Source organism: Homo sapiens, chromosome 20 (genome assembly GCF_000001405.40).
Source record: "Homo sapiens chromosome 20, GRCh38.p14 Primary Assembly".
Lineage (NCBI taxonomy): Eukaryota > Metazoa > Chordata > Mammalia > Primates > Hominidae > Homo > Homo sapiens.
In genome coordinates, this window is record NC_000020.11 from 661,288 (window position 1) to 687,495 (window position 26,208).

The 26,208-nt window shown below is 53.8% G+C and overlaps 1 protein-coding gene across 1 annotated transcript, besides 5 other annotated features; it reads right to left on the reverse strand.

Annotated features, from left to right (window-relative positions):
* Positions 221 to 834: an enhancer, noted in NCBI's record as "H3K27ac-H3K4me1 hESC enhancer chr20:642152-642765 (GRCh37/hg19 assembly coordinates)". NCBI's record gives its function as "activates a minimal SCP1, AML or CMV promoter by ChIP-STARR-seq in primed H9 embryonic stem cells {active_cell/tissue: H9 hESC(primed)}" and the evidence as "EXISTENCE:reporter gene assay evidence [ECO:0000049][PMID:30033119]".
* On the reverse strand, positions 309 to 14,515 carry SCRT2 (scratch family transcriptional repressor 2). Its single transcript, NM_033129.4, has 2 exons — positions 14,182 to 14,515; positions 309 to 3,174 (listed from the first exon to the last, which is right to left on the reverse strand). Exons 1-2 carry the CDS (start codon positions 14,312 to 14,314, stop codon positions 2,384 to 2,386), a joined length of 924 nt encoding a protein of 307 aa, NP_149120.1. The 5' UTR covers positions 14,315 to 14,515; the 3' UTR covers positions 309 to 2,383.
* Positions 835 to 1,447: an enhancer, noted in NCBI's record as "H3K27ac-H3K4me1 hESC enhancer chr20:642766-643378 (GRCh37/hg19 assembly coordinates)". NCBI's record gives its function as "activates a minimal SCP1, AML or CMV promoter by ChIP-STARR-seq in primed H9 embryonic stem cells {active_cell/tissue: H9 hESC(primed)}" and the evidence as "EXISTENCE:reporter gene assay evidence [ECO:0000049][PMID:30033119]".
* Positions 11,743 to 12,256: an enhancer, noted in NCBI's record as "H3K4me1 hESC enhancer chr20:653674-654187 (GRCh37/hg19 assembly coordinates)". NCBI's record gives its function as "activates a minimal SCP1, AML or CMV promoter by ChIP-STARR-seq in primed H9 embryonic stem cells {active_cell/tissue: H9 hESC(primed)}" and the evidence as "EXISTENCE:reporter gene assay evidence [ECO:0000049][PMID:30033119]".
* Positions 14,385 to 14,464: a silencer, noted in NCBI's record as "silent region_12583". NCBI's record gives its function as "represses an Ori minimal core promoter by ATAC-STARR-seq in GM12878 lymphoblastoid cells {active_cell/tissue: GM12878}" and the evidence as "EXISTENCE:reporter gene assay evidence [ECO:0000049][PMID:35858748]".
* Positions 23,718 to 24,012: a silencer, noted in NCBI's record as "tiled region #5118; HepG2 Repressive non-DNase unmatched - State 21:Repr". NCBI's record gives its function as "represses a minimal TATA promoter and a strong SV40 promoter by Sharpr-MPRA in HepG2 cells {active_cell/tissue: HepG2}" and the evidence as "EXISTENCE:reporter gene assay evidence [ECO:0000049][PMID:27701403]".

Sequence of the window (26,208 nt, forward strand, 5' to 3'; positions counted from 1 at the left end):
CACTCTTTCCAATTAGTCACAGGCTTCACCTTCCCTAATGTCTTAAGGCAACTGGCTTCACTCACATGTTATTAATCTGGTTTTTAAACCCTTATTTGAGGAGTATTAAGGATTGAGGATGCCTGAGAACTTGTAAATGCCAAGGGACCCTTGGGGCTGTGTGACCCTTGGTGGCAGCTACAGGCTGGTCAGGCTACAGAGAGGAAAATGGAGTGGAAAAGTAGTATCTCTCAGATGCCCTCCCCTTCGTCTCATTCCCCCCCTTCATCCCCACCCCTTGCTCCAATCAGAAGGTCTAGAGGCGATGGTGAGTGGCCAAAGTCCCTTTAATATCCCTGAATTGCGTTACAAGTAATACTGCTGGAGGTGGGGAAGGGATGGGGGTTTGGGGGTGAGTTGGGATAGGACGGAGGAGGAGCGCCAAGCGCTCATACAAAATATGGCCAAAAGGCTTAGCATGCATGGAAAATTATTGCTGTCAGAAGTTGCTATTTACAGGGTCAACGCCTCCATAATTGCTTCTGCTACCCCTCTCCCTCCCACCATCCCTGCAGCCTCCCTTCCCGCTGGGCCTGGAGCTGAGCAAAGGCCCATTCACCCCTCTGGAGCCCTAGGGAAGTGCCCCTGCTGCAGGGGTGCCTCCAGTCTCCCCCCTCTTTTGTGGCTAAGAGGAGGGGAGAGGAGGATCTGAGAGTCCAGGACTCCTGCCCCCAAGCTGGCTGCAGAGCAATGGGGCAGAGGCGTGTGCTTAAAGCGGAGGGGGCCAGGGCCCGTGCGCGTGGAGGTGTGTGCTTCGGTCCTCGCCCGGGCATGCAAAAGCGCAGCGGAGGAGGTAGTGGCGGCCAACGGGCGGGTGGCTGGCAGCCCGGCCCCTCTGTCCGGGAGAGTTGCATAGACATGGCCGGGAGAGAGCGCCCCTCCCGGGGAGCAGGCCAGAGGCCCCAGCGGGTCCGGGGCTCAGTCGGTCCCTGGAACCTGGGGTCCCTCGGGAAGAAGAATAAACAGGAAACAAATCGAAGAGGCTCCTCTCTCCGGGCCGCCTGGAGTGGCAGGGGAAGGTTCAGGAAGGTGGGGACCTGCCCCACGCCTGGACCTCCTGATGCTCCCTCACCCCCCCAGTTGAGGGTCAGCAAGCTGCCCCCCCATTCTCGAGTCCCCTTCCTTAGCGAGTGCAGGCTCTGAAGAGGGTGGGTTTCTCCCGAGACGCGGGGGTGTGTGTGGTGGGGGCAGCCCTCTGTGGCCTGTGCTGTCCCTCTCCTTGCCTGGCTTCCTGACCTCCCAGTCCAGCTGGGGAAGCCAGACGGTCCCTGGGTGAGGCCAAGAGATTAAATAGAATAATAAATAGATAAATAAATAAATACACAAATAAATAACTGGAAGGACCCAGCCGGATGGGGGAAGGGCATTGGCGAGGTGCTCCAGACCTCCCCCCAACAAGTAAGGAAGGGGATCTGTGGCCCTGGGGATGGGGGAAAGTGCTCAGAGAATCTGGGGGTAGGGCAGCTCCAGACTGTGGAAGCCCAGGTTGTGCCGGGGTGAGAGAGGGGTTACATTAGGGGGCAGGGCCCTGAAGTGCCCCTCAAGCCCCCTCCAGGTTAGGTAGACTCAGAGGGGTGAGAGCTGCTAGAGAGGTGAGGGCAGCTGGAGCTGGGGCTGGGAGTGGGTGATGAGATCCCCATGGACTGAAGACAGTAGGAACTGTGTGTGGGAGTGGGGTGTGGGGGTGTGTGTGTGTGTGAATGGCCAGACCTAAGGCCTGAGCATGGATGGGATCAGGGACAGATCGGAGACTTCAAGAAGGGTGAAGATTAGATCCCCAGATGGACACACTCTGGGAGATTCAGCAGAGGCCAGAGGGATGGTCTGGGGTTGGACTGTGGTCTCAGGGCGGCAGGGCCTGCGTCCAGGTGTGGATGGGGAAACTGAGGCAGGTATGGGCGTCAAGGGTATAGGTTTGCGGCTTTCATTGGGGGCTCCAGTAGAGGAATGGTCAGAGAGATTCAGCTGAGAAGCGAGAGAAAAGATCTAGAAGTTAGAAGAGCAGCGCGGGGTCTGGGAGGGAGAAATTTCCGGCTCTGGGGCGCGGGAGAGGTGCGGACCTGGTGCCTGAGTTGGGAGCCTTGAAGGCGCGGACAGGGGGGTCAAGGTCCGAGGGATGGCCGGAAAGGATGAAGTGGGTCGGGGGACGCTGGGGAAGACGGTGTGGAAGTGAGTCGTGGGTTTGGGGGTTGGGGAGAAAAGTTCCGGGCCGGGCCGGGGGTCCCCACGAGAGGGTCATGGGCAGGGAAACGCAGCCGGGGCTGGGCGAGGGCGCTGCGGGCGCAGGTAGGGGGCCCGGGGCGCGTGGAGAGCGAGTTCCGGGCGCGAGGGCGAGGCGGAAGGCTCAGCTGGCCGGGCCGGCGGGGGTCGGCGGGGGTGGCTCGGCCGCCTTGGCGCAGGCCGCCTCGCAGTGCTTGTGGAGGTAGGACTTGAGCGCGAAGCTCTTGTCGCACTGGCGGCAGCGGTAGTGCTTGAAGGCCGAGTGCGTCTGCATGTGCGCGCGCAGGTTGGAGCGGTCGGCGAAGGCCTTGCCGCAGTGCGCGCAGCCGAACGGCTTTTCGCCGGTGTGCGAGCGCATGTGACCCTGCAGCAGCCAGGGCCGCGAGAAGGCCTTGCCGCAGACGCCGCACTTGTGGCGCAGGTTGTGCGTGAGCAGGTGCATGGCGAGCGCGGGCATGGACACGTAGGCCTTGCCGCACGTCGGGCATTTGCGCGCCAGCTGGCTGTCCAGGCTGCGGTGCGTCTGCTTGTGGCGGCTCAGGTTCGACGACGTGGCGTAGGTCTTGCCGCACTCGGCGCACGCGTGCCGGTGCCCGCCGCCCGCCTGCGCCCCCGCGCGCCCCGCGCGCCCCCCGGCGCCCCCCGCGTCTCCCGAGCCCCCCGCGTCCCCGCCGCCCCCGCCCCGCCGCCGCCGCGAGCGCCCGTCCGAGATGAAGAAGGCGTCCATGGAGTAGCTGTCGGTCACTGCCGCCTCCCCTCGGAAGTAGCGCGCCGACAGGCTCGACTGCGGGCTTTCGGGGTCGCTGTACTCCTCCGGCGCCGCCGGCGGGTACGCGGGCTCGGCCGGGGCCAGCTCCAGGCCCGGCTTCTGGTCCGCATCGTAGCTGCTCGGGGGCAGGCGGTGCGGGGCGTACCCTGGAGGGGGCGAGAAGTGGAGGGGCGGTGAGAGGAGGCGCCGAAGAGGGTTTCCCGCTTTGAGCGCGTCACCCTTTGCGCCTTCCAGCTTGGCGCCCCTGTGGCAGCTCCGACAGTGGTGGTCTCCGACCTGCACCTCAGCTCTTCCTGTCAGGCAGCCTGGGTTCAATTCCTTCCTCCATCGACGGCAGTGCAAATAGCCGCCACCCCAACCCACGGAGCATGGGGCCAGCACGGTTGTACAGAGCGTACCTTCACTATCCAGTGCTCACAACCGCGGAGTGATGGTCTTATAATACCCACGCTACAGGTAGAGAAACTGAGGCGCAGAGAGATGCAGCAGTCTAACCTTACAGTCAGGAAGTGATGGAGCCCTTGCCAGTGTGACCCTGAAGCCCATGCTGTCTCTATTCCAACAACATGCTGCCGTTGCAGCCCTGTAACTTCTCTGGATCTCAGTTTTCTCATCTGCAAAATGGAGCTTGTGATTGGACACCTCCTTCCAGGGTCGTTGGAAGGACTGAGTAAAGTGACGATAATAAGCGTGTGTTAAGCTCTTACTGTTTGCCAGACTCTGCCTCGGTGCTTTACGCATGTTAACTCTAATCGTCACAGACCCAAGGAAGTCGGCACTATTGTAATCCCCATTTGATGTGTAAGGAAATGAACAAAGGTGGGGGAGCATACAGTAATTGCTATATAAATGTTAGCTATTATAATTATGCTTTTTACTTGCTTGGAGATAGTTTCCTCCCCCACCACACTGTGAGCTCCCCATGGTTGGATCTGTGTGCCCAGCACATGCCTGGCTCAAAGTAGGTGTGCGATGAATAGATGTTGCATGAAGGAATCACAATCCAGTTAGACCCACCTGCCAGGGTTGCTGAAGCATTTAACAGGGGTCAAGTGTGTGGCATGTAATAGGTGCTACAGAAAGGGGACTTCCTCGCACCTGCTCCCAAGCCTGCTCTAGAAGTCGTCGGAAGTCCGCAGTGAGAATTCCCCTCCCCCTCCTCCTCCCACTTAGCTGGAGTTGGACCAGGAATCCTGTCTGCCAAGGGTTTGAGTGATTGGTGGGTGGGCAGGCTGGGGTCTCCCTGGGGATTCCGTAGGGGATTCTCATGGGCAGGGGCCATTCTGATTTGCCTCTGCCTCCCATGGCCTAGGCTGGTCCTAGCACCTTCCCTGAGACCCTGGGGGCTGGGCTCCCTGGAGAGTTTCTGGCAGACAAACTTTTCATCCTGGCACTTGATGGGCAAGTGATTCCATTGTTCTGTGATTCCACAGAACAATGAAGGTTAGGTCCGTTTGGGAGGTTTCCCACCTGGGGAGTGGGATTTGACCTTCTCCTGGTGACCCCTGAGACCTGTAACCACTCCTCCTTCCCTCCTCCCCTAGCCTCCTTCACTGAAGTGAGCAGGTGGAGGAGGGTTTTGTAAGGGGAAACAGGGTTCAAGATGTTCAGACTTTTAGCTGGGTACTCTGGTCAGCTTTCGTTTCCCACACAGCCTGGCTGATTCAGCCTCCAGGCCTTTGCCTCTCATCTGGAGTTTGGGATGGACACAGGGTGAAGTCTGTGTGCCCCTGAAGGCAAGGGTGTGCCCTTATTTTTACCTCTGTCCCTTCAGCAGCCAGCACAGGGCCCTCTGCACACAGAAGTCATTGTGGATTATGGAAGTGGATGACTCGGAAGCGGGGGGCTCTGTGGTTGGATGTAAAGGGGGATAGTGATAGTGGCAATTTTTTAATCTGGGGAGAGGAGATGCCCAGCCTCTCCGCACCCTATGTCTCCCGTCCCATCTGCCTGTGGTCTGGAGGTCCCCCTGCTTCCCACTCCGGGAACCAGGCCTGGTACTCAGGTCCCAGAACATTCAGGAGTGTTGTTTCAGACTGAGTTAAATACCCGTCAGGCACTCCCAGACCCCCCTCCTTCTCCTTCTGTATTTCCTCACGTTGTAATTCCTGGTGATGATAATAATAGCTAATATTCACTGAGCACTTACTGTGTGCACCAGGCTCTGTGCTAAGTGCTTCGCTCCCATCATCTCACTGAATCATCACAAAACTACTCTCATCACAGATAAGGAAACTGAGGGACAGTGTGGTGATGGCACTTGCTCCAGGGGTGGAGCAAGGATTGGAATCCACTGCCCCCTTGGTTTCCCACATACTGGGAGGTCCTCCAGGAGGGGGCTGTGGCTGAGCTGTTCACCTCCCATTCCCAGGGCCCTAGCTAGTGGGCACTTAATAAGTATTTGTGGAATGAGTGATGATGATTTGCGAGGCCAGCCTCACTCCCCAGCCTAGCAGGACCTGGTATAGACAGTCCTGTTCACCTGGTCTCAGGGCAGGTCTGCATCTCATGTGTCTGGGGCCATGGAAGGGGAAGGGTGGTTTGGTTCTCCAACACAGATTCCAGCTGAGTGCCTTTGGGTGGGTTGTGCTTCAGGTCCTTTTTTTTTAAAATGGGATTTATCTGGAGGGGTGACTGATCACGTAACCAGTGCTTTGAGTTCTATTATTAAAGGATGACATATTGGATAAGAGTAAAACTTTGGTGCCAGACGGCCTGGATTGTTTTGGCTCTACCATTCCCAGCAGTGTGACCTTGGCCAAACGATTTGGCCTCTGTGTGACTCTACCGTTTCAGTAAGGGGTCTGCCAGTAAACAGTATATAAACAAATGATAACCAGCACTCTCAGAGCACTCCTGTGTCAGGCACTCTTACAAGGGCTTTCCACACATGAAAGCATTCTACCCCCATGACACACAAGGTGGTAGGTACCCTTTTATAGAAGAGGAAACCAAGGCACAAGGAAGCTAAGTAACAAGCCTAAGATTGTGCAGCTGATAAGTTAGAGCCAGGATTCCAGCTCAGTGGCTGGCACATTTTAAATCCACCACGCATGTTGGCTGTTATTATGAACAATAATAACAATCTCCCCAGATGGGTTTCTGTGCTGCAGCTTTCTTGGCATCTGCCCCAACACATCGTGCTGCTCCTCTCTGGGCCTCTGTTTCCTCACCCGGGATGTGTAATTTCTATTTCACGTTCTGATGGGAAAATATCTGGTGCATAGTAGGAGCTCCATCAGTGAACCAGAGCGTTCTCCATGAGGTGCTCTGCCCATGGCGCCCTCTGCTGGTGGCCCTCAGCGCTGTTGACTTTCCTCCTGTTGCAAGGGGCTCTTTATGAAGAAATAGGGGTGCCTTCAACAAAGGCTGCTCATTTGCCTAGGGAGGGCTGCAGAAGTGTCTTCAGGATAGGAATTGTGAGCCCAGACCAGACACCCAGTCAGTGGATTTTGGCATGGGTTGAGAGCATCCTGTGAGAGTTTGTGTGGTCATGTTAGGAGGAGGTGGTTCTAACTTGCTTTGTGACTGTGGCCAGGTTGCTTAACCTTTCTGGGCGGAATCTATACATGACAAAGATGGACTGGAATGGTCTAAAGACCCTTTCTGCATCATGGCTGAATCAGTCCCTCCATGATGCTCTTTGTCCCCTCCACTCCCAGCTCCTCCAATTCCACCCCGTTTTCCTCAGATTCACAGACATCTCCCTAGGCAACCTTGGGCAAGTTACTTAACATCTTTCTGCCACACCTGTATAAGGGAGTTCATAATAAGGCTGAATAAATGAATGCATGTAAAGTGCTTAGGACAATGCCTGACACATAATAGCTGCCCTCTTGAGCTGTTATTATTGTTACTGGTAGTATTCCTGTGTTTCCTGGTGATATATCCTTCTAATCTGCCAGAGAGTAGGAGATACACATGGGTGTCTTAGGCTGCTGTGTGACCTTGAGCAAACCACCTCACCTCTCTGAGCCTCAACCCTGGAGACTCCTTTAGGACACTAAAAGCCATACTTTAACCTAATGCATGGAACCCAGACAGGTACCTTCCTCTGCCCTAAGAGTGACTATAGAAGGCTGAGATACCTATCCTGCAACTGACAGGGTGAGACAGGACTCTTGTTTGGGTTCCCACAGAGATAGGGATGAGCTGGGATTCAGAGAAAAGAGAATCTCAGGTGAGATCTCTCATCCTAGCCCTTGAATTCAGGCCGTAGCCATGTGACCTTGGGTAAGTCGCATAACTTATCTGGGCTCAAATCCTCCATTTGAGGAATGTGGACCAGAGGCACCCCTGTCATGTAGGGATATGGGGAGGGCCCAGAAATACTTTGGAGATGTGCACATGTCACCTGGAAATGACTTTGGTTTTCCCTGCCCAAGAGTCTTGATATTTTAGACTGAAGGTCCAGAATCTGTCTTTTTAAAAATCGGTACTCAAAGGAGTGGTGAAAGGGAAATTTATGAGAACTAAGGTGCTGGGCCCTCTGCAGACACTGTCTCATTTAGCTGCCTGACCCCCTGCGGGGATGGAGGGGGATGTGTAACAAATACTGCTACTGCTACTGCTGGTGCTTCCAACTAGCACCAGCCTCCCTGTGAGCCAGACATTGCCCTGTGCCCAGAGGCCCAGAGAGGGGAGAGGATTTGCCCAAGGTCACTGAGAGGGAGGCGGCAGGTTTGAAACCCTCCAAGGCCTGTGTTTTTTCCAAAACACCAGAGAGGGCATGGAGACTTGCTGGGGAAGAGATCTTCAATTGGTAGGGGAAGGGGTGGTGCGTTTCCTCAAACACTCCCTAGTTAGCCTGTGGTGGGGTGGGTGGGGGCACGGGGTGGTGGGGGCATGGAGAAGCTGTTGTGGAAAATGCTTCAGCCTCTTGTAAGTATTTGTAAATCATACTTAATAACAGTAATGCCTATCACTTACTGAGCACTTACTTGGTGCAAGGCATCCTGCTAAATGCTTTGTGCACATTAGCTCATGTCTAAGGTCACTTCCCTCCATGCCCTTGTTCTGCAGAAGCTGAAGCCCAGACAAAGGCCTTGACCCACCTCAGGTCACAAAACAAGTTCTCATCAGAGCTGGGTTGGCCTCCTTTTCTTTCCTTTTTTTCAGTCCAGGACTCCTTTCCCCAGTCTCTCCCAGACTCCCAAGGTGCCAAACTTTCTCCAGGGAATTCCTAGCCTCAGCCTCACCTCTCTGTCCTAAAATGGGCAGAAAAAGACAGGGGCCTGGTGGGGGGCCAGCTTCCCCGGCGGCCCACTTTCCTGAGGAGGGCTGGGCCCTGCTGGGTGGTAGGGGCTGGAGGAGCTGCTGTATGGGTATATTTAGAGCTGCTTCTTGCTGTGCCAGGGCCTCGGGCCTCGAGAATCAGCTCCAGCCAGCTGAGCAGAAAGCCAGGTCTGTCAGCAGCAAAGCGGGATAAAAATAGTTTCTCCTGTCTGCTCACAGAGCTGGGCAAAGGGGCTGGGTACCTCCCCCTCCCCTTATTATAGCATCTTTGTTAGCGGTTCCCTGGGCACTGGACCAGAAATGACACCCACCTCCTCCAAAGGCCTGGCAGCTGGTACATCTGCCCACGGGGAGGAGGTCCCTGTGCCCAAATGAGCAGGGGACAGAGTGAGGTCTGGCCCAACATGACCAACGCTGCATGGCTTGGGGCTGATGCCCACTGACCCAGGCCCAAGGAACTTTGAGAGAATTTCAAGGCTTTTCCCCACCACCCCCATCTCTTGGAATTCCCCACATTCTGGTCTTTCCTGACTGTGACCCAATTCCTGTGGCCTACAGGGAGGTCCAGAGCTCTGCAGGAATCAATAGGAAAGATTTTTCAGGGGGGTATGGAGATGAGAGTGAGTGGCTCAGGGTCTTCATTTGCCCAGCCTGGGTTCGTAGAGTTGCCTCCTGCTCCCTCGGGGGGGATCTCCAGTGGGCCCTTTCTGGGCCTCGTTCCGGAGACTGGGTGTGTTGTGCAGTGCTCCACCTCTTCCCCCGGCCTCCTACTTTCTGCTCTGCCGCCTCTCTCTCTAGAAGGGTGCACTCAGAGGGCCCATTCCAAACCCCTCCCTATCCAAAGGCTGGCCTGGCAGTAGACGCTTCACTTCAGGGGAGTCCACAGCTGGGAAAGAGACCAAGAGGCCCGAGGGACCCCATCTCTCCCGGCAGAGGGCCTCCAGGCTGTGGGGGCCCCTAAAACCTGTGGATGTAGCACCCACTAGGGAGGTGTGACAGGGTGCACCGTTTATGCTCTTGTGACTTTGGGCAAGTCACGGCCTCTCTGTGACCTCAGTTTTGCCTCTGTAGGTTGGAGTGAATCCTCCCCTGCCCCCCGCTGCCCTTTGCCCACTGTGGATTTGTGTGGCCAGAGAGTGCCTTTGGGATGTGTAGATTGCTGTACTGACATAAGGGACTTGGTGTACTCTCTGGCCCTCCTTCAGCAATCAAAGACTGAGACTATCTAAAGTGTGGAAGCTCAGCTCAGGACCCTCACGTCCCTCTCGTAACCCCAGGCTTTAGAGGAAATCAGGGGTTCCCAGATTCCATATCTCACATGGGCCTCATCATTCCACACTTCCACTGAGCCCTGTTAATTCACAGGAATATTAGATTTCTGGGTCCCTAGAAGGTCAAAGCTGAAAGAGATCATATTCAACCGTTTGATATTATGAAAGGAAAACAGAGGCTGGGAGGAGAGGGGAGACTAGGCCAAGGCCACACAGAAGGCTAATGGTGAGTCTAAGACTTGAACTCAGCCCAGCCTTGAGAGCGGATCTGGACAATGACCTTGGACTGGAAACTGGGCCTGAATCTTGATTCTGGACCCAGCACTTTGCCCTGGACCTGTTCATAGGTATTGAAATTTGAAATTGGACATGGATTTGTCCTGGATAGCAGACCTGGACCTATAACCTCAGACACTGACCTTGGACCTAGTCCTTGGACCTGGTCCTATACCTGAAGTTTGACGTAGGCATTGGACTTGGACCTCAGATCTGTACTTGGATGTTGGACTGAATGTTGGACCTTGACCTAGACTTTGAACCTGGGCCTCTGACATGTCTTTAACCTGGACCTTGGACCTGGACCAAGGCCAAGTTACCAGGGAAAGGGGTGGTTAGAGAAGACTCAGATGGGTCTGCTGTGTGTCCATGGGCACCTCCCCAGCCTTCTCTGTGCTTGCTCTTCCAAAAGACTGGGGAAGCCCTTTTGCATTGCTGCTCCCCAGAGGAGCTTTCTGAGGTGTGGAATGGATGTGTGGCAGCTGGGGACATTGGGCCGGGCTCCCGGGCTTGGCCTGGAGCGACTACCCGGCACCATCAGAGGGAGTGAGAGGAAGTGGGCGCTGGTTTAATGTGGTCAGCTAGATAAGCCCATGGGTAGAAGTAGGAGAGTTTCCTCAGCTTGCTGGGGGAGGCTTAATGTAGCTGCAGAGGGCAGACAACTGTGTTATTGGATTGGCATTGATCCCTCATCTGCCTGGGTTGGATGCACTCTGAGAGGGCAGGAGGGCAGGACAGGGCGGGGATGCAGAGGAAGGGGGGCCTGGCTCCAAGCTGGGGTTCGGAGTTAAGGTGGAGGGGAGGCAGACACTCCAGAAGATATTCTTGGCAGGGGCCCACAGAGACCACTGACATGCATGTGGGTGGGCCACCTTCTTTGGGGTGGCTGAGAGTCCCAGTATCCTTCAGATGGGGGCCCCGGTCTGTGGGGAGGGCCTGGTGGAGTTGGAGGGTGAGGTTAGCAGAGGGTTAGGATGATGTAAGTTGGCATCTCCCAGAAAGACTGAGTCTGTGCTCAGAATCACCCAGGGGAGAAGAGGGGAAGGGAAAGCAGTGGAGGAGCAAGAGAGGCATCTTACTTGAGGGGACAATGAAATTAGATCTATTCCCACTTATCAGGGAGCTCTGCAGAGAGACCTGGTGCTTTCTTCATTTGAGGGGCTCCCCTTCCCTGTTTAGGAGTTCTGTGGGCTTGGGGGGACCCTGGAGCACAGACAGACTTGCTGCACCCTCTGTTCTGCCTGGCGGTAGAGGCTGAAAGGGAGTAGGAAGGCAAAGAAGAGCATTGCTCGTGTGTGTGTGTGTGTGTGTGTGTGTGTGTGTGTGCGCGCGTGCGTGTGTGTGTATGGAGGAGGAGCAGGAGTCCTCCAGGAATTCTCCAGCATTCTCAGGCATTCCCAGAGCTGGGGTACACCTCTTTAATTTGGGGTTCTGCATCTTTATCAGCTAGGAGCTTGTGGTTTCTCTGACCTCCACATTCACAGGCTCCCCCAACCCCTGCTCCCCCGACCCAGGTTTCCCTCCCGCCAGCCTCATCCTGACCCTGCAGCCCGAGCTGCAGGAATGGCTTGTAAGAAGATCTTTCTAATAACTGGAACTATCTCCAGCCCCAGGCCTCCCCCGCCCTCCCTCCCTCCCTCTCTCCTTCCCTCCCTCCCTTGCTTCTCCTCCCTCCCTCTCCTCATCTTCCCCCCCTCCTCTCTTTCTCCTTGTTTACCCAGCACACTTACACACGCTGAGAGAGAAAAACGTCGGCTCAGCAATTTTTCACACTTCCCTCAAATGCTCAGCAAGGTTATTTCCGGCAGAGCGGAGACAACGGGCCACCAGGAGCCGGCGGGCTCTCAGCAGACCCCCAGCACCCTCCACCCGCCCAGGGAATAAGGGATCCCTCACTGCCCAGTCTGGCCGCACCCCAGGGAGGGAAGAGGCCCCTGAAAACAAGACAAGGCAGACTTTGTATTTCCCAGTCATACCTAGGCTTGGTCTCTGGCACTGACCGTCCACTGCAGACACTGCCAAGGTGGCCAGGCCAGGGTGCCTGTCCTCACTATGGGGTAGCCTACAGAGACCAAAGCCAAGAAAAGTGCCCGATCCCAGAAATGCCGCTACCCTCAGCCAGGTGGCGTATGTTCAGTGGAGCCCTAAGGAAACCCTGACAGTGGCCTCCCAGCATCCTGTTAGACCCCTGTGCAGGCATCTCCAGTGCCTGACATTCCATAGTTGACCTTCACAGAAGCTGAGCTTGTCAAAGTTGGAAGGATGCTTAGTTTATGCCATCAAAACTCTTTCACTGCTGGGGAGGCTGAGGACCAGAGAAGGGAAGGCACTTGCCCAAGGTCACACAGCATGTGAGAGATCTAGAGCCCAGGCCTCCAAATTTCAGGCCAGGTTTCTGGCTATCAGCACAGCCTCAGGATTCCTGAGAGGTGAGGGAGTTGGTCTGGAGACCCATGGGGAAGGGGACAAAGACAGAGGTGGTTCTAGGGTGTTAAACCCGGTGGAACCTCTGCAGAAACACCCTGCTGGTGGCTCTGCACCCGCCCTGCTTCCCACTATTCACTCAGGGGCTCCTTTCAAAGCTTTTTTTTGGACTGAATTCAAGGCAAGGCATTCTCTTGCCTCCCTCCTGAGGAACAGCCTGCAGTTTTGGCTGTGCATGGGAAATTCTCTGGGCTTCTCTGGGTTTCCTCAGCTGGCCTGGGGACAGGACCAACGGGGCTTCAGGGGGTGGAATCCCAGAGCTTTGTGTCAGTGTCAGTCCCTTAAGAGATCCATATCCCAAGCTTGCAGATATTTCAGTTTCTACCAGCTTTGAGCGCACACTCTCCAGCTTTGGCATGGCCCCAGGTCCACCCTCTGTCCTGCCAGCCCTCAGCCCTGCTCAGCCATGTCCCTGGGCTTCTGACCTCCACCTCAAGAGGCCCTGTGATCAAGAAAAGAGGACAGTAGAATAAGGGACATGTGGGCAGAGGAGAAGGGGTTTCTGTTAAGGGTCTGGGGGATGCCAGTGGATGAGGGGCTGTAGCTGTATCCCTGATCACTCTGTAACTTCTTTGACCTTGATGAGGTCACAAAGCCCTTTGCCCAGCACTCTCTCTCTCTCTACCTGGTGTGGCAGAGTGATGGAATGTGGGTGAAGTGCTTGGAAATCCCAGAGGTGGAAGCCCCCATCCTCCCAGGCTCCTGTCTTTGCCATCTCAGTTCCCCCCTCATCCTCAGTCCTTTCTTTTCTCCTCTCTCAATCTCCCTCTTTCTCTCTCTCTCTTTCCCCACCCCCATCTCTCTCTCTCTCTCTCTCTCACACACACACACACACACACACACACACACACACACACACAACCCAAAGCTGCCACATGTGATGTCAGATCTCTCACTACCAAAGGGACACCTCCTCTTCAGACACCTGCCCTGGTGGGGGCCATCAGGGGAGAACCCCTTTGTGATCCCCTTGGTGGAGGATGGGATCCACAGAAGCAGTCTCCACTTTCCCCTGCCTTCCAGAGATCACCCCCTTCTGCACCTGAATGACTTCTCTTGTTCCTCAAACCCTTGTCCCTGCAGGAACTTGTTCTGAGAAGAGATGGAGTGTGTGTGTGTGTGTGTGTGTGTGTGTGTGTGTGTGTGTGTGTATGTGTAGTGAGGAGGGGGCTTACGAGGAGCAGCAGGGTTGGTTCTGGAGGGGGTTGAGAAGCTGGGGATGGGGAAGGAGTGCAATCCAGGGGACCAGGAGCCACTTTGGGGGAACCCCTCCCAGAAATCCTCTCTTTCTTGCAGTCCCCAGGACAGGCCCAGCCTTTGGCAGGCATGTGGCTGAGGGTAACAAAAGAGTTATTGAGAGAGGGGGTCTGAGAGCACTTGTGTGACATCGGCAGGGGAGCAGGTTTGAAGGGAGGGAGGGCGCCCCCAGCCACCCCCAGGGAACCAACCCTGTCTCTCCAGGGACTGAACATCCAGGGCTCTTTACCTTCCCCCTTCCCGGGCAGCCAGCTTCTCTTCCTCAACGGGGGAGAGGGAACCCTCAAAGTGCCTTGTGCCTCAGTGCCCAGCGCTGGCCTTTCACGAGCAGCCCCGTCTGTGTTCTCTTGCCACCCCCTCACTCTAGCCCTATTTGAGGGCCACAACTTTCAAAGTCCCGGCTGGCGCGTGGCTGCGGGATGGGCCGACCCCGCGACTTTCCCTTTGTACGACCTAGCCCCTGCCCCGCCCGCACGGCCCTTGGAAAGCCCGGGAGGAGCCCACGGCCAGAGAGATCTCCTCCCGGGGGTTTCCTGTCGCACGCGCCCCTCCTCGTGGCCCAAGCTGGGGAGGGCCCCAGCTCCCCTCGCCTCTTCTCCCAACCCCCCGCCCCCGCCGGGTCCCACTCACCGTTGTCCCCGGGAGGCCCCCGGGCGCCAGGCAGCACGTAGGCTGTCTCCAAGGGGTGGTAGGTGGGGGCCGGCACCCCGCTGCACTGGAAGCCGTCCCCTTTGATCTTCTTTACCAGGAAGGAGCGCGGCATGGCGCGGCCGGCGCGGGGCTCGGTGCGGGGAGGCGGCCGGCCGGGCGCGATCGGCTGTGTCCGCGCGGGTTTTCAGCACTGGACAGCTCCCAGCGGGCTGGAGCGCGGGAGGCCGCTCGGAGCCGGCACCGGTGGCGGCGGCCCCGGCTCGGGCTCGGGCTTGGCGGCGGCGGCGCGCAGACAGGGGATCGCGGGAGCTGCGCTCAGCACTCCGGCTGCCGGCTTTATATGGGACGCAGGCTGGAGATCAGGTGGTCCCCTAGCAATGGAACCGCTCGGCGCTCTAATCCATCAAATGTCCCCCAGGACAATCGCTCCGCACACGTTCCCCTGAACCGGCGGCGGTGGGGGCAGGCCCGGAGCAGGCAGGAGGGGAGAAAGTGAGGGCGAGAAAGGCGCAGAGACAGAGAGGGACGGAGAAAGGGGAGTGAGGGGGGCGGGGAGAAGAAGAGAGACTCGGAGAAAGACAGAGACATACAGGGAAAGAGAGACGCACACGCTGAGAGAGGTAGAAATAGAAGCAGAGAGACCAAGATAAGGACAAAAAGACACAAGAGAGAAACAGAGAGAGAAGAAAGACAGAGATGGAGAGAAGTAGCAACACACACACACCCACGGGAGGAAAAGAGAAATCCAGGCACACAAAAAGGAAACCCCCCCAGGGATGCAAAGAAAGGGAAAGAAAAGTGCAAAAGAGAGGGGGAAGCCGAGGGGAACGGAGGGAAAGCGGTCCCGAGCAGGCGGGGTTCAGGCACATGGGGCCGCAGGGAAGGGGATGCAGAGGAAAGAGTGCGCACTGGCCAGCGGCCACCCTCCCGCCTCCAGTCCTCTCCCTCTCCCCCAGTTCTGAAGTGGCCAGGGTGGACGCTCAGCTTTCACTAGAGTAAGTCTCCCCTCCCCCCTGCTCGGGCTCCCACTGGAGCCCCCTGTTGGGTTTGGGGTTCAACTTTCTTCTTCCAGAACTGGTGGGGGGAGCAAGTCCCCCACGCCGATGCCTGGCCTTGCTCGGTTGGTCCTGTTCCGGTGCCTAGCTCAGGCGGGCGCTGCAAGAGGAAGTGAAAATCGTCCAGTAATTAATTTTCCTGCTGCCGGGGGGTGGTGGTTTTGACACATCCGAGGCAGTGTCTTTCCCTGAAGCGGGGAGCAGACAATAGAGACACGTGGACTGGGAAGGGAGAGGGGGGAAGGGAGGGGGAGCGGGGCTCCTGCTGGAACTCTTTGCAGGTCAGCTCCTTTGTCTCTAAAAGGATCTGAGCAGACCCGCCACCCCCAGTCCGACCCAAACCTGGGGGAGCCCCCATATCTTGGCAGGACCAAGGAGCAGGAGAGCTCAGCCCCCTGCCCAGAGGGTGCTGGGCAAAGCCCCATGGTGGCGGACCTGCTTTAGCAAGTGTGGGATGGCCAGTGCACAAGAGTCCCAGAATCAGACTCTAGGAATTCCAGGCTCTCGCTGTCAATGGAATTCTGGTTATGAGATGCAAGGCTGGTGGAGTGGGGATGTCCTTTTGGGACTGGGTCATCCAATACCAGTTTGCAGGCTAAGACCTAGAGAGGGCTTGGAGGTGCTTGAGGTCATGCAGTGAGTCAGCAGCAATTGCCAGAGACCTCAGTGGCCTCTGGGCACCACTGAATCAGGGCCTATCATGGTCCTTGAGGTGTAGCCCAGAAGTCTCAGAATAAAACTGGGGCCCCTCGTGGTGGTTCAAGCCTGTAATCCCAGCATTTTGGGAGGCTGAGGCAGGAGGATCACTTGAGGTCAGGAGTTTGAGACCAGCCTGGGCAACATAGTGAGACCTTGTCTCTACAAATAGTTAAAAAAAAAAAAAAAATTAGCCAGGTGTGGTGGTGCACACATGTGGCCTTAGCTACTTGGGAGGATGTGGTGGGAGGATCGCTTGGGCCTGGGAGTTCGAGGCTGCAGTGAGCTGTAATGGCACCACTGCGCTCCAGCCTGGATGAAAGAGCGAGACCCTATCTCCAAAATAATAATAATAATAATAATAAGTTAGAGTTTCCAATGCAGGATCTGTTGGCCTTGAATATTTTCAAAAGACATAAAGATGCAAGGATGTGGAAGCAGAAGGTTTGCCATTGAATTTGCCCTGTATGGTTTTAGATTGTTTTCCCTGACCGAAATAAGGAATTAAGGCAGTTTACTCCCTATATATAAACATTGAAAAACATTGCAGGTCCAAAACAATGGGGGCCCCTGATCTTGCCAAGGCCCTGCATGGTCTAGAGGTCCCCCACCATCTTTCCTGTTGCATTGCCTCATATCTTGCCCATGGGAATTTTTTTTTTTTTTGAGATGGAGTTTCGCTCTCGTTGTCCAGGCTGGAGTGCAATGGCGCGATCACAGCCCACTGCAACCTCCGCCTCCCAGGTTCAAGTGATTCTCCTGTCTCAGCCTCCTGAATAGCTGGGATTACAGGGTGCGCCACCATGCCTGGCTAATTTTTTGTCTTTTTATCAGAGACGGGGTTTCACCATGTTGCCCATGGGACTTTTTTAAACCTCTGTCACTGAGAGTTGAAGTGACCACACCCTTGACTCATGGCACGCCCATGCATTCTCTGCTCCAGCCATAGGTGCCTACTGGTGCTTTGGGCTTGCAGCTCTCTTGACCTGTATACCATTTCCACTGCCCAGAGTCCTTCCCTGCACTTCACCCTAGGAAACCCCTACTTGTTCTCAAGACTCAGCCGAGGGGTCACTTCCTCCAGGAGGTGTCCCTGACTTCCATCATTGCAGACTGGGCCAACTCACCCACTGGTCCCTGAGCTTCATGAGGACAAAGACTCTGTCCCATGTATGGCTTAACACACTCTTAACAGTGTGCATGAGGGTCTTCTAGCTCCCCTACTTATTAGCCATAGGTCCTTGGACAAGTTACTCAACCGCTCTGTGCCTCAATTTCCCCACTTATAAAATGGGAATAATAATTGTCACTACCTAAGTGTTGTTGGGAGTGTTAGAAGAGTTACTACATATAAAGGGCTTGGAATGGTGACTGGCATATGGTAGGAGTTCAATGCTTGAGGGTTCTATATATGCAGTTTTGCCTGTAGCATGCAGCGCTCATTTGTTACATGTTAGTGGGATTCTGTGGAATGAGTGGTGAACTAGGCATCTCTGGTCCCTGCTTTCTTGCAGCTGATCTTGCAGCTGTCCATTCATTGAGTGGATGGACACCAAGCAAGAAAATCCTTAAATCAACAATATATTTTCAGATAGTTGACCAGTGCTGTGAGGAACATAAAACAGGGTGAGATGATGGAGAGTGATGGTGCCTTTAGGCAGGGTGACCAGCAAGGGTCTCCTGGGAGAGGTGGCATGTGCACCTAGACTTGAGCCAGCCATGGAAGGAGCCCAGGAAAGAGTGCTCCAGCCAGAGGCTTCACAAGTTCAAAGGCTCTGAGGCAGGAATGAGCTTGAGCAGCTGAGGACAGCAAGAAGGGAAGGAAGATGAGTTCAACATGTTAGCAGGGCCAGACCCAGAGATTACTCCATAAATCCCAAATGAATGAGTGAATGAAAGAATGAATGATTGTAGGGGTGAGATTCAGCCTATAACTATAGCTTACAACTGTGACTAAGTAGACCTATTGGTTGGAGAATAACTTTTCACTGTTTACATAGAGGAAGTTGCTTATTTGTTCAGTCATTGACAATTGTGGTATAGCCATATTTTTTAGTTTGTGCTGGGTACTTGGATCTCTGTCCTCTAGGGGTGCCTAGTTCACTGTGGGTAAATAAGGCAAGTGGGTGTCATCTAGCTCACCTCCACCTGCCTGATGGTTCTACCTCTCCAACCTCACATCTAAGAGATGGCAAAACGGATCCCAGAGTCCTTAAAAAGGAATATAGGTCACAGCAACTTTTGACAGAGCTGGGACTGGACTGTTCTCACTGGGCAAGATAGTGATCCACCCCTTAACTGATCAAAGGAAGCCCCACAGAAATGGTGTATTAATAGGTCCTGCAGCCCACTAGTGTCGGGTTGAGGATAGAACCCCAGGTCTCTGACCACAGGTTGGAAGGTGGTGTGGGTGCATTTAGCATATGAGAAGAAGCCTTGAGCCCTGAAGATGAGGTTCCAAAATACCTTCAGAGGGGAGGAGGCCTTAAGTATGGATGAAATACACAATGGCCAGCAGAATTTCATCACTAGGACACCAGGAAGGGCCTTCTGTCCCCCAAACCTCCCCCCACCCCAGCTTACTGGTTTCAGGAAGTTCACTGTGGGGAATTAATTTCTCTAAGTCACATGAAATAAGGAAATAACTTTTATTCCCAAGGATGTTCGCTGCAGCATCAGAGATGGTAATAAAAACCCTGGGTTGGAGAAAGCAAGGAGAGGGTTGTGAAGAAGACGTTCACTCCATGTAGTATTCTGCAGCCATTAAAAATTCTCATTTGGGGAGAAAAGCTCATAAAATGTGTTAAGTGAGGGGTGCAGAATACAGAAACCTCTCACAGCACGTTCACAACCATGAACCAAAACAAAAATAAACACACACAAAAGAGTGAAATAAGGGTCTGGAACTATGGGGTTTCCCTCTCCCTTCTTTTTGTGTTTTCCAAAAAGATCATAAAATATTTCAGTTCAGCCAGGTGCAGTGGCTCACGCCTGTAATCCCAGTACTTTGGGAGGCTGAGGCGGGTGGATCACGAGGTCAAGAGATTGAGACCATCCTGGCCAACATTGTGAAACCCCATCTCTACTAAAAATACAAAAATTAGTTGGGCATGGTGGCGCGCGACTGTAGTGTCAGCTACTAGGGAGGCTGAGGCAGGAGAATCTCTTGAACCCAGGAGGTGGAAGTTGCAGTGAGCTGAGATCGCGCCACTGCACTCCAGCCTTGTGACAGAGCAAGACTCCATCTCAGGAAAAAAAAAATAGTTCAACAAATATTTATCTTGAGCACTTGCTAACTGTCACTTACTTCCAAATAGAAGAAATGCTGAAGTTTAGTAAACCATGTCAGGATATTCACTATTCATTCTTCTGACTTTTGGGAAGTTGGCATTGTGAATTTCCCCAGTGGCAATAATAATTATTAGTACATCGCCAGCAACATTACAGAGCCACCCCACAGGCCTGGCAGTGTGCTAAGCACTTTCCCTTTGAAGAAGGTGACCTTGCCTGGGGCTTTAGATTGAGGGATTTGGAGTCAGCCTATTTTCAGTTTAAATTCCTGCTCTGCCATTTCCCGACTGTGTAATTCTCTGTGCCTCCATTTTCTCATCTGTAAAATGGGTGTATAAATTGGGCCTGTCTCACAAGGTTGCAGTGAGGATTAAATGATAATATAGGCATCAAGTGCTTAGAGCAGTGCCTGGCACACAATAACTTGATAAATGTTGACAGTTGCTATTTACATATCCTCACTTATCTAAGCCTTACCATGGCCTCATGGGAGAAGGTGCTGTTATTGAAATGACTGGTTCATGGCTACATAGTCACTGTACAGAGGAGCTAAAGAGTGTCCCATGTCTTCATGGCCTACTGCCTTCCTGCCCAGGAGCCCCAGGTCTTGGCATAATAGGTCTAGCTGGCTGCAGGCTTAGCCCTCTCTGGCCTACCTCGTCTGCTCTGGCATCTTCCATATTTCAACTGTGCCCTGCCCATCAGGAAGAAGGGCAGTTCCCAGGGTCTAGGTGTGAGTCTCAGGGCTGTGTGACCCTAGGTGGCTGGCAGAGCCACCCTGGGCCTCACCCTGCACATCCATAAAGAGGGGTTGGGGCATCCTATGATTCACTGGCTTCACTCTATGGGGTCAGGAAGGAGCACTGACCTGGGAGTCAGGAGCCCAGTTCCAGCCCTGCTTCTGCTCCCTTTGCCCTCCCCTTTGGGCCCCAGCTTTCTTGTCTGTCAAATGGGAATGGGACAAGATGGTCCCTGAGCTGCTGTCCAGACCCGGTAATGGAATTCTGTATGAATTCCAAGGAGGAGAGTAGCCACAAATGCATCCGCTCCACGCTGATGGGGCTCTCTCTCCGGTAAGCTTCACTTACTCTGCCATTTCTCCAGTGTATTTTATCAGACCCACCTCCTCTGAGCCAAAGAAAAGAGGGTAGGAGCAGGATGAAACAAACTCACAGCTCTGTTCATTCAGGCTCATCACAGAGATGACTTGCCCAAGGGCATGTGGCAGGTCCTCTGAAATTTGAGGAAGGCTGTGTTTTCTTTTGTGTCACTTTGGTCCTCCGGGAAGCAGATGTGAAAATGGAGGTGTAAGTGTAAGAGATTTATTGAGAAAACACCGTGAGAAATGGAGGAGAGCCTTCAGAGAGGGATGCAGGTCTGATACTGTGAAAGGAGAGGTGGAATAAAGAAAGATTGGGGAAGAGGAGCCTCAGGCCATGGTGCAGGTCTAAGGAAGTCCTAGCCAACCCAACAGGGAGCTCCTGTGCAAAGATTTCCTGTAGAGGAGTCCCGTGCTCGACAGAAGGGCAGACCCTAGTTTCCCACCATGCTCAGTCATCAGCCGGCCTGTCCTGGAAGAGTGGCTGTGCTGACAACTATGGCAGATTGCAAAGGTGTTGCAGCTGGAGGCTCTCAGTGACTGTAGTCCAGAGAAGATCTGAGTGGCACCTCCCTAAGGCTGCCACATGTTTTTCTTTATTCATTTAATAGACACTTACAGAACTCTGGGCCATGTGCCAGTTACTGATCTATGCACTTTACAAATATTACCTTAGTTAATCCTTACCCTCGCCTTTTGAGACAGATGGTATTTTTAGCCCCATTTTATAGAGGGAGAAACTGAGCACAAAGAGGTTAAGTAAGTTGCCCAAGGTTTCACAGCCAGTAGGTGATAAGCCACAAATCCAACCCAGGCAAGCTGCTTGGAGGCTCTGCTCTGACCACTCCACCACACTGCCTCCTCTCCAGCTGCAAATGCCTTGGTGGCAATTTCTGGGACCATTTCCATTTTCATTTTTCATTGGCTCAGGACCTCACAGCCTTAACAGGAAGGGGCCTACTGTGGTGGCTGGGGGCATAGCAGGGTCCCAGCTCCCCCTGAAGCTTCTACCTTGCTCCCTCAAAGACTTCCACCTCAAAGCCTTTGCATATATTGTTCCCACTGCCCAGAGCACTCTTCCACCCCCTTCCTTGCCTAGGTAACCCCTCCTCCCATCGCTCCCTTGCCTGACCCCAGGATCTAGCCCAGGATAGGGGTGATATGTAGTGGAAAGGAGCTAGTTGACATTTATTGAGCACTTATTATGTGCTAGGAGCCAAGTCCAGCCCTTTACATAGATTGCCTCACTTAACCATCATAACAACCTGTGAGTGTGGCCCATGGCTATCCCCATTTTACAGATGAGGAAACCAAGGCTCACAGATGCAAGGTGACTTGCCCAAGGAGACCCAGCTAGGAATCAGTGGTGTCAGTATTTAAACCAGGCTGCCTGGCTACAAAGTCCTGATCTTAAACCATGAGTCCTTCCCTCTAAGAGGGCAAAAGATACCAATGCTAGGGTGGGTAGGTGAGGGCCCTCCAAAGAATGTCCCTCCCCTTCCCCCTGCCAGGGCTGACAGCTCCTTGAGTGGGATTCCGGATCTGCTCCATTCATTGCCGCACCTCCATCGTCTACCCAGAGCCGGGTAAATAGTAAGTGCTCAGTAAATACATCAATTGAATGAATAAACTAATGAGTGAAAAACCTTCTTGCGACCCGCAGTCACCTTGGTCCCCTTTGACCAGAGCCAGGTTGACGTGTCAACCGTCAAGATATCCCTCTGTTTTGGGTGATAATTAGATTTCTATCTTGACTGTTACAGACATTGGTATTCCTCCATTAAAATGTCTTTCTTTCAGGCCAGGTCCGGTGGCTCACGCCTGTAATCCCAACACTCTGGGGGGCCGAGGCGGGTGGATCACCTGAGTTCAGGAGTTCGAGACCAGACTGGCCAACATGGTGAAACCCTGTCTCTACTAAAAATACAAAAATCAGCTGGGCATGATGGGGCGTGCCTGTGATCCCAGCTACTCAGGAGGCTGAGGCATGAGAATCGCTTGAACCTGGGAGGAGGAGGTTGCAGTGAGCCAAGACTGCGCCACTGCACTCCAGCCTAGGTGATGGAGTGAGACTCTGTCTTAAAAAAAAAAAAAAAAGAAAGAAAGAAAAGAAAAAAAGTCTTTCTTTCAAAGTTGGAGACATCCCTAAACATTCTAACTCCTGTCCCTGACAAGGTCCCATCTTAAGCAGGTCTCTGAAACCTCTGGAAGAAGGAATTGGCTATCAGGAGTCTGATCACCAGGCTGCCTGCGGGGTCAGGGTATTTGGGGTGGGCCTCTGGCATGGTTTAGCGGTGGGCTGGCCAAAAGCCCCTAGACAAGAGCCCACCATTCAAGCAAGTGGGATAACTCAGCGTTTGGGCCTGGGTCACCCTGAGCCAAGTTTTATTTTTTATTTTTATTTTGTAGAGGTAGGGTCTTGCTCTCATCCAGGCTGTAGTGCAGTGTTGTGATCATGGCTTATGGCAGCCTTGAACTCCTGGGGTCAAGTGATCCTCCTCCCTCAGCCTCCTGAGCAGCTGGGACTACAGGTGCATGCCACCATGCCCTGGCTAATTTTTAAACTCTTTGTAGAGATGGGATTTTGCTATACTTCCCAGACTGGTCTCAAACTCTTGGCCTCAAGTGATCCTCACGCCTCGGCCTCCTAAAGTGCTGGGATTATAGATGTGAGCCACTGTACCTGGCTGAGCCAAATTTTAATCCTGGCTCTGCCTCTTCAAGCTGGTTGGCCCTGGGCAAGTTACTTTGCCTCTTTGCAGCTCTATTTCATCTCTGTAAACAGAGGCCAGTGGGAGCACCTGCTAAGTAGGGCTGTAGGGGGCTTCATGTATAGTCAGCCCTTGGTAAGTGGGAGCTCTACTTGAAGGGCCTTTGAGATAACAGCATTGTCTCCTCCCCACCCCCATTTGACAGTTGTGGAACCTGAGGCATGGGACAGGGAAATGCTTTCCCTGGAACATTCAGGCTCCCTGCCAAGTCAGGATGGGCTTCCTCACTCCAAGGTGGCCTCTCTTGCCTCCCTCTCTTCCCCACCAGCCGAGCTCAGAACCATGCCTGGGAGATGCTGAGGTGGCAATGGAGCTGCAGAGTTGGCATTTCCAGGCTCCCAGGACTCCTGGCACAGAGGAATCAACCCCTCTCAGCAGCCCCGGCTCTGCCTCCTGCTCCCTGCCTCTGCTCATATACCAGCTGGGACTCATCAGCTTCTAGAGAAAGCCAGGAGGTGGCCCAGGTGCATGGAGGCAGGGGGCTGTCAATATTGACCTGTGCTTGACCGCAGACTTTGCCAGTGGACAGGTTGCTAAGGAGTCAGAATGTCCACATGCCCCTAGTGCTCATCTTCCTAGCCTCCCATCTCACCTAGCTGCAGAGGGGGAGGGGGAGCACAAGAGTTGAAAGCGTGGATGATCTGGGTTCACTTCGGCTGCTTACCAACAAGTTACCCAGCCTGGGGAAGTTTCCCATCCTCTTTTTATCTCAGTTTCTTCAACTGTTACATGAGGATGTTGATACTAATGGCTTATCTTGAAGGGCAGATGGAAGATGAGTGAGGTGTTTGCACACAGCCAGTGCTCAATAATATTGGCCATTGTTAATTCTGAGGCTATCCTCTTACAGTGACCTCTTGGGCCTTTCAGCCCCAAGGAGCCTCTCCTCTCTCTGACTCCTGTGGCTCTGTCAAGATCCTGCAATGAAATTCTTCTGGAACCCTATCCAGATGGTGAACTCTTCAAGGGCGGGGACCCCATACAGGTGCCCCATTATAGGCCTGGTACACAACAGGTGCTCATGAAAAGGCCTGCTTGGCTGTGATACTACATGAACTTACAGAACCCTCACAACTACTTTTGGAGGCATATGACATGATTATCCCCTTTTATAAAAAGGGGGACAGTGGGTAACATCGAGGTGAAGAAATTGCCCAAGCAGCTGGGCGCGATGGCTCACGCCTATAGTCCCAACACTTTGGGAGGCTGAGGTGGGTGGATCATTTGAGGCCAGGAGTTCAAGGCCAGCCTGGCCAACATGGCGAAACCCCATCTCTGCTACAAATACAAATACAAATAATAATAATAATAATAATAATAATAATAATAATAATAATAATAATAGCCAGGCATGCTGGCATGCACCTGTAATCCCAGCTACTGAGGCTGAGGCATGAGAATCATTTGAACCGGGAGGCAGAGGTAAGAGGGAGCCAAGATCGGGCCACTGCATTCCATCCTGGGTGACAGAGTAAGACTCTGTCTCAAGAAACAAACAAACAACAAACAAACAACAACAACAAAGAAAAAGAAAGAAAAAAATTGCCCAGGGGCTCACAGCTATAAATCTGCAGATACTTATTGTGACCTGCCATGTGCCAGACACTGTGCTAAGAGCTGGGGACACAGCAATGAACAAGACAGAGACCTGCTCTCATGTGGCTTACATCCTGCTGAGCCAAGAGTAGGTAGATATGCCAATGTCCTGTCATAGAAAGCACCAGGCAGGGAAATGGGCAAAGACAGAGAGAGGTGGAGGCCGGGCGCGGTGGCTCACGCCTGTAATCCCAGCACTTTGGGAGGCCGAGGCGGGCGGATCACGAGGTCAGGAGATTGAGACCATCCTGGCTAACACGGTGAAACCCCGTCTCTACTAAAAATACAAAAAATCAGCCGGGCGTGGTAGCAGGCGCCTGTAATCTCAGCTACTCGGGAGGCTGAGGCAGGAGAATGGCGTGAACCCGGGAGGCGGAGCTTGCAGTGAGCCGAGATCGCGCCACTGCACTCCAGCCTGGGCGACAGAGATAGACTCCATCTCAAAAAAAAAAAAAAAAAGAGAGGTGGAGCGAGAGCCATTTTAGATAGGGTAGTCAAGGAAGACCTCTCTGAGGAGGTGACTTTTGTGTAGAGTCCAGAATGCAGCAAGTGCTGGGTGAAGCCTCAGGAAATCTGCTTTAGCATTGCTGTGGCAGATTCAGGGTGGAATCCAGGAGATCCCAGGACTGGTGGTGCCTAGAGCCCAGTTGGCTAGATCAACTTCAGTGTGGATAAATGACTCCCCTGCCCCCGCGAACTTACCTTCCTGGAGCAGTTAAAAGAACGGGGCACATGACCTAGATTCTCTGAGCTTCACTTTTCTCATCTGTAAAATGGGGATTGAAAAGCATAGCTTACAATTCTGAGAGCTGAGTTGATTAACAGAGATGGTCCATGTAAAATGCTGGGCTCAGAGCTGGGCTGACCAGATTCACCTAGTCCTTGGTGGCTGGAGTGGGCAGGTGACCTTCCTTTTGGCCGTCCAGCACCCTCCAACTCCTTGCTTCTGAGACCTCACCTCCCACTCATGGTATCATTGCTGGCCTTCCCAGCCCCGTCTTGGCCAGGGGGCAGTCAAGTGACCCAGATTAGCCTCGTGCCATTCTGTTGAGGGTGTGGTGGTTGCTACATTGAGTGTCCAGAGGTAGCAAGGACTAAAGTCCTGGTGTCAGCATCCAGCGTTGGTGTCAGCAGCACGAGCTCTGTCTTGGGGACCCGTGGTGTCAGCAGTGAAGTCTCCCTCAGGCCAGGGCTTTGGTCTGATTTGAGGGCTTTTTTCTTTTCTGGATATGAAGCCTGTAAGCCTTCTGACCCTCCTGGAGATCCTTCAGGCACGTCTGCAGCCATGGGTCCTGGATGATTTAGCAGCTCACGCCATTGTCTGGAAACTCCACTGGTACTATTTTTCTCATGTTCAGCTCTCTGTGCACAGACTCCATCCTTCTGGCCCAGATGGCCCCTTGGGGATATGCACATACCAAGTTCTTTCCACTGTCCTCACTTTGAGGGCAGGGGCCTGGGTTGTTCATTTTTGTGTCCCCAGATCCTAGCACAGAGC

Coding starts and splice junctions, on each gene's coding strand:
- SCRT2 (NM_033129.4), bottom strand. CDS start 14,314: ATGCCGCGCTCCTTCCTGGTAAAGAAGATCAAAGGGGACGGCTTCCAG. Junction 3,175..14,181: donor GGGGCCTCCCGGGGACAACG/GTGAGTGGGACC, acceptor CGCCCCCTCCAG/GGTACGCCCCGCACCGCCTG.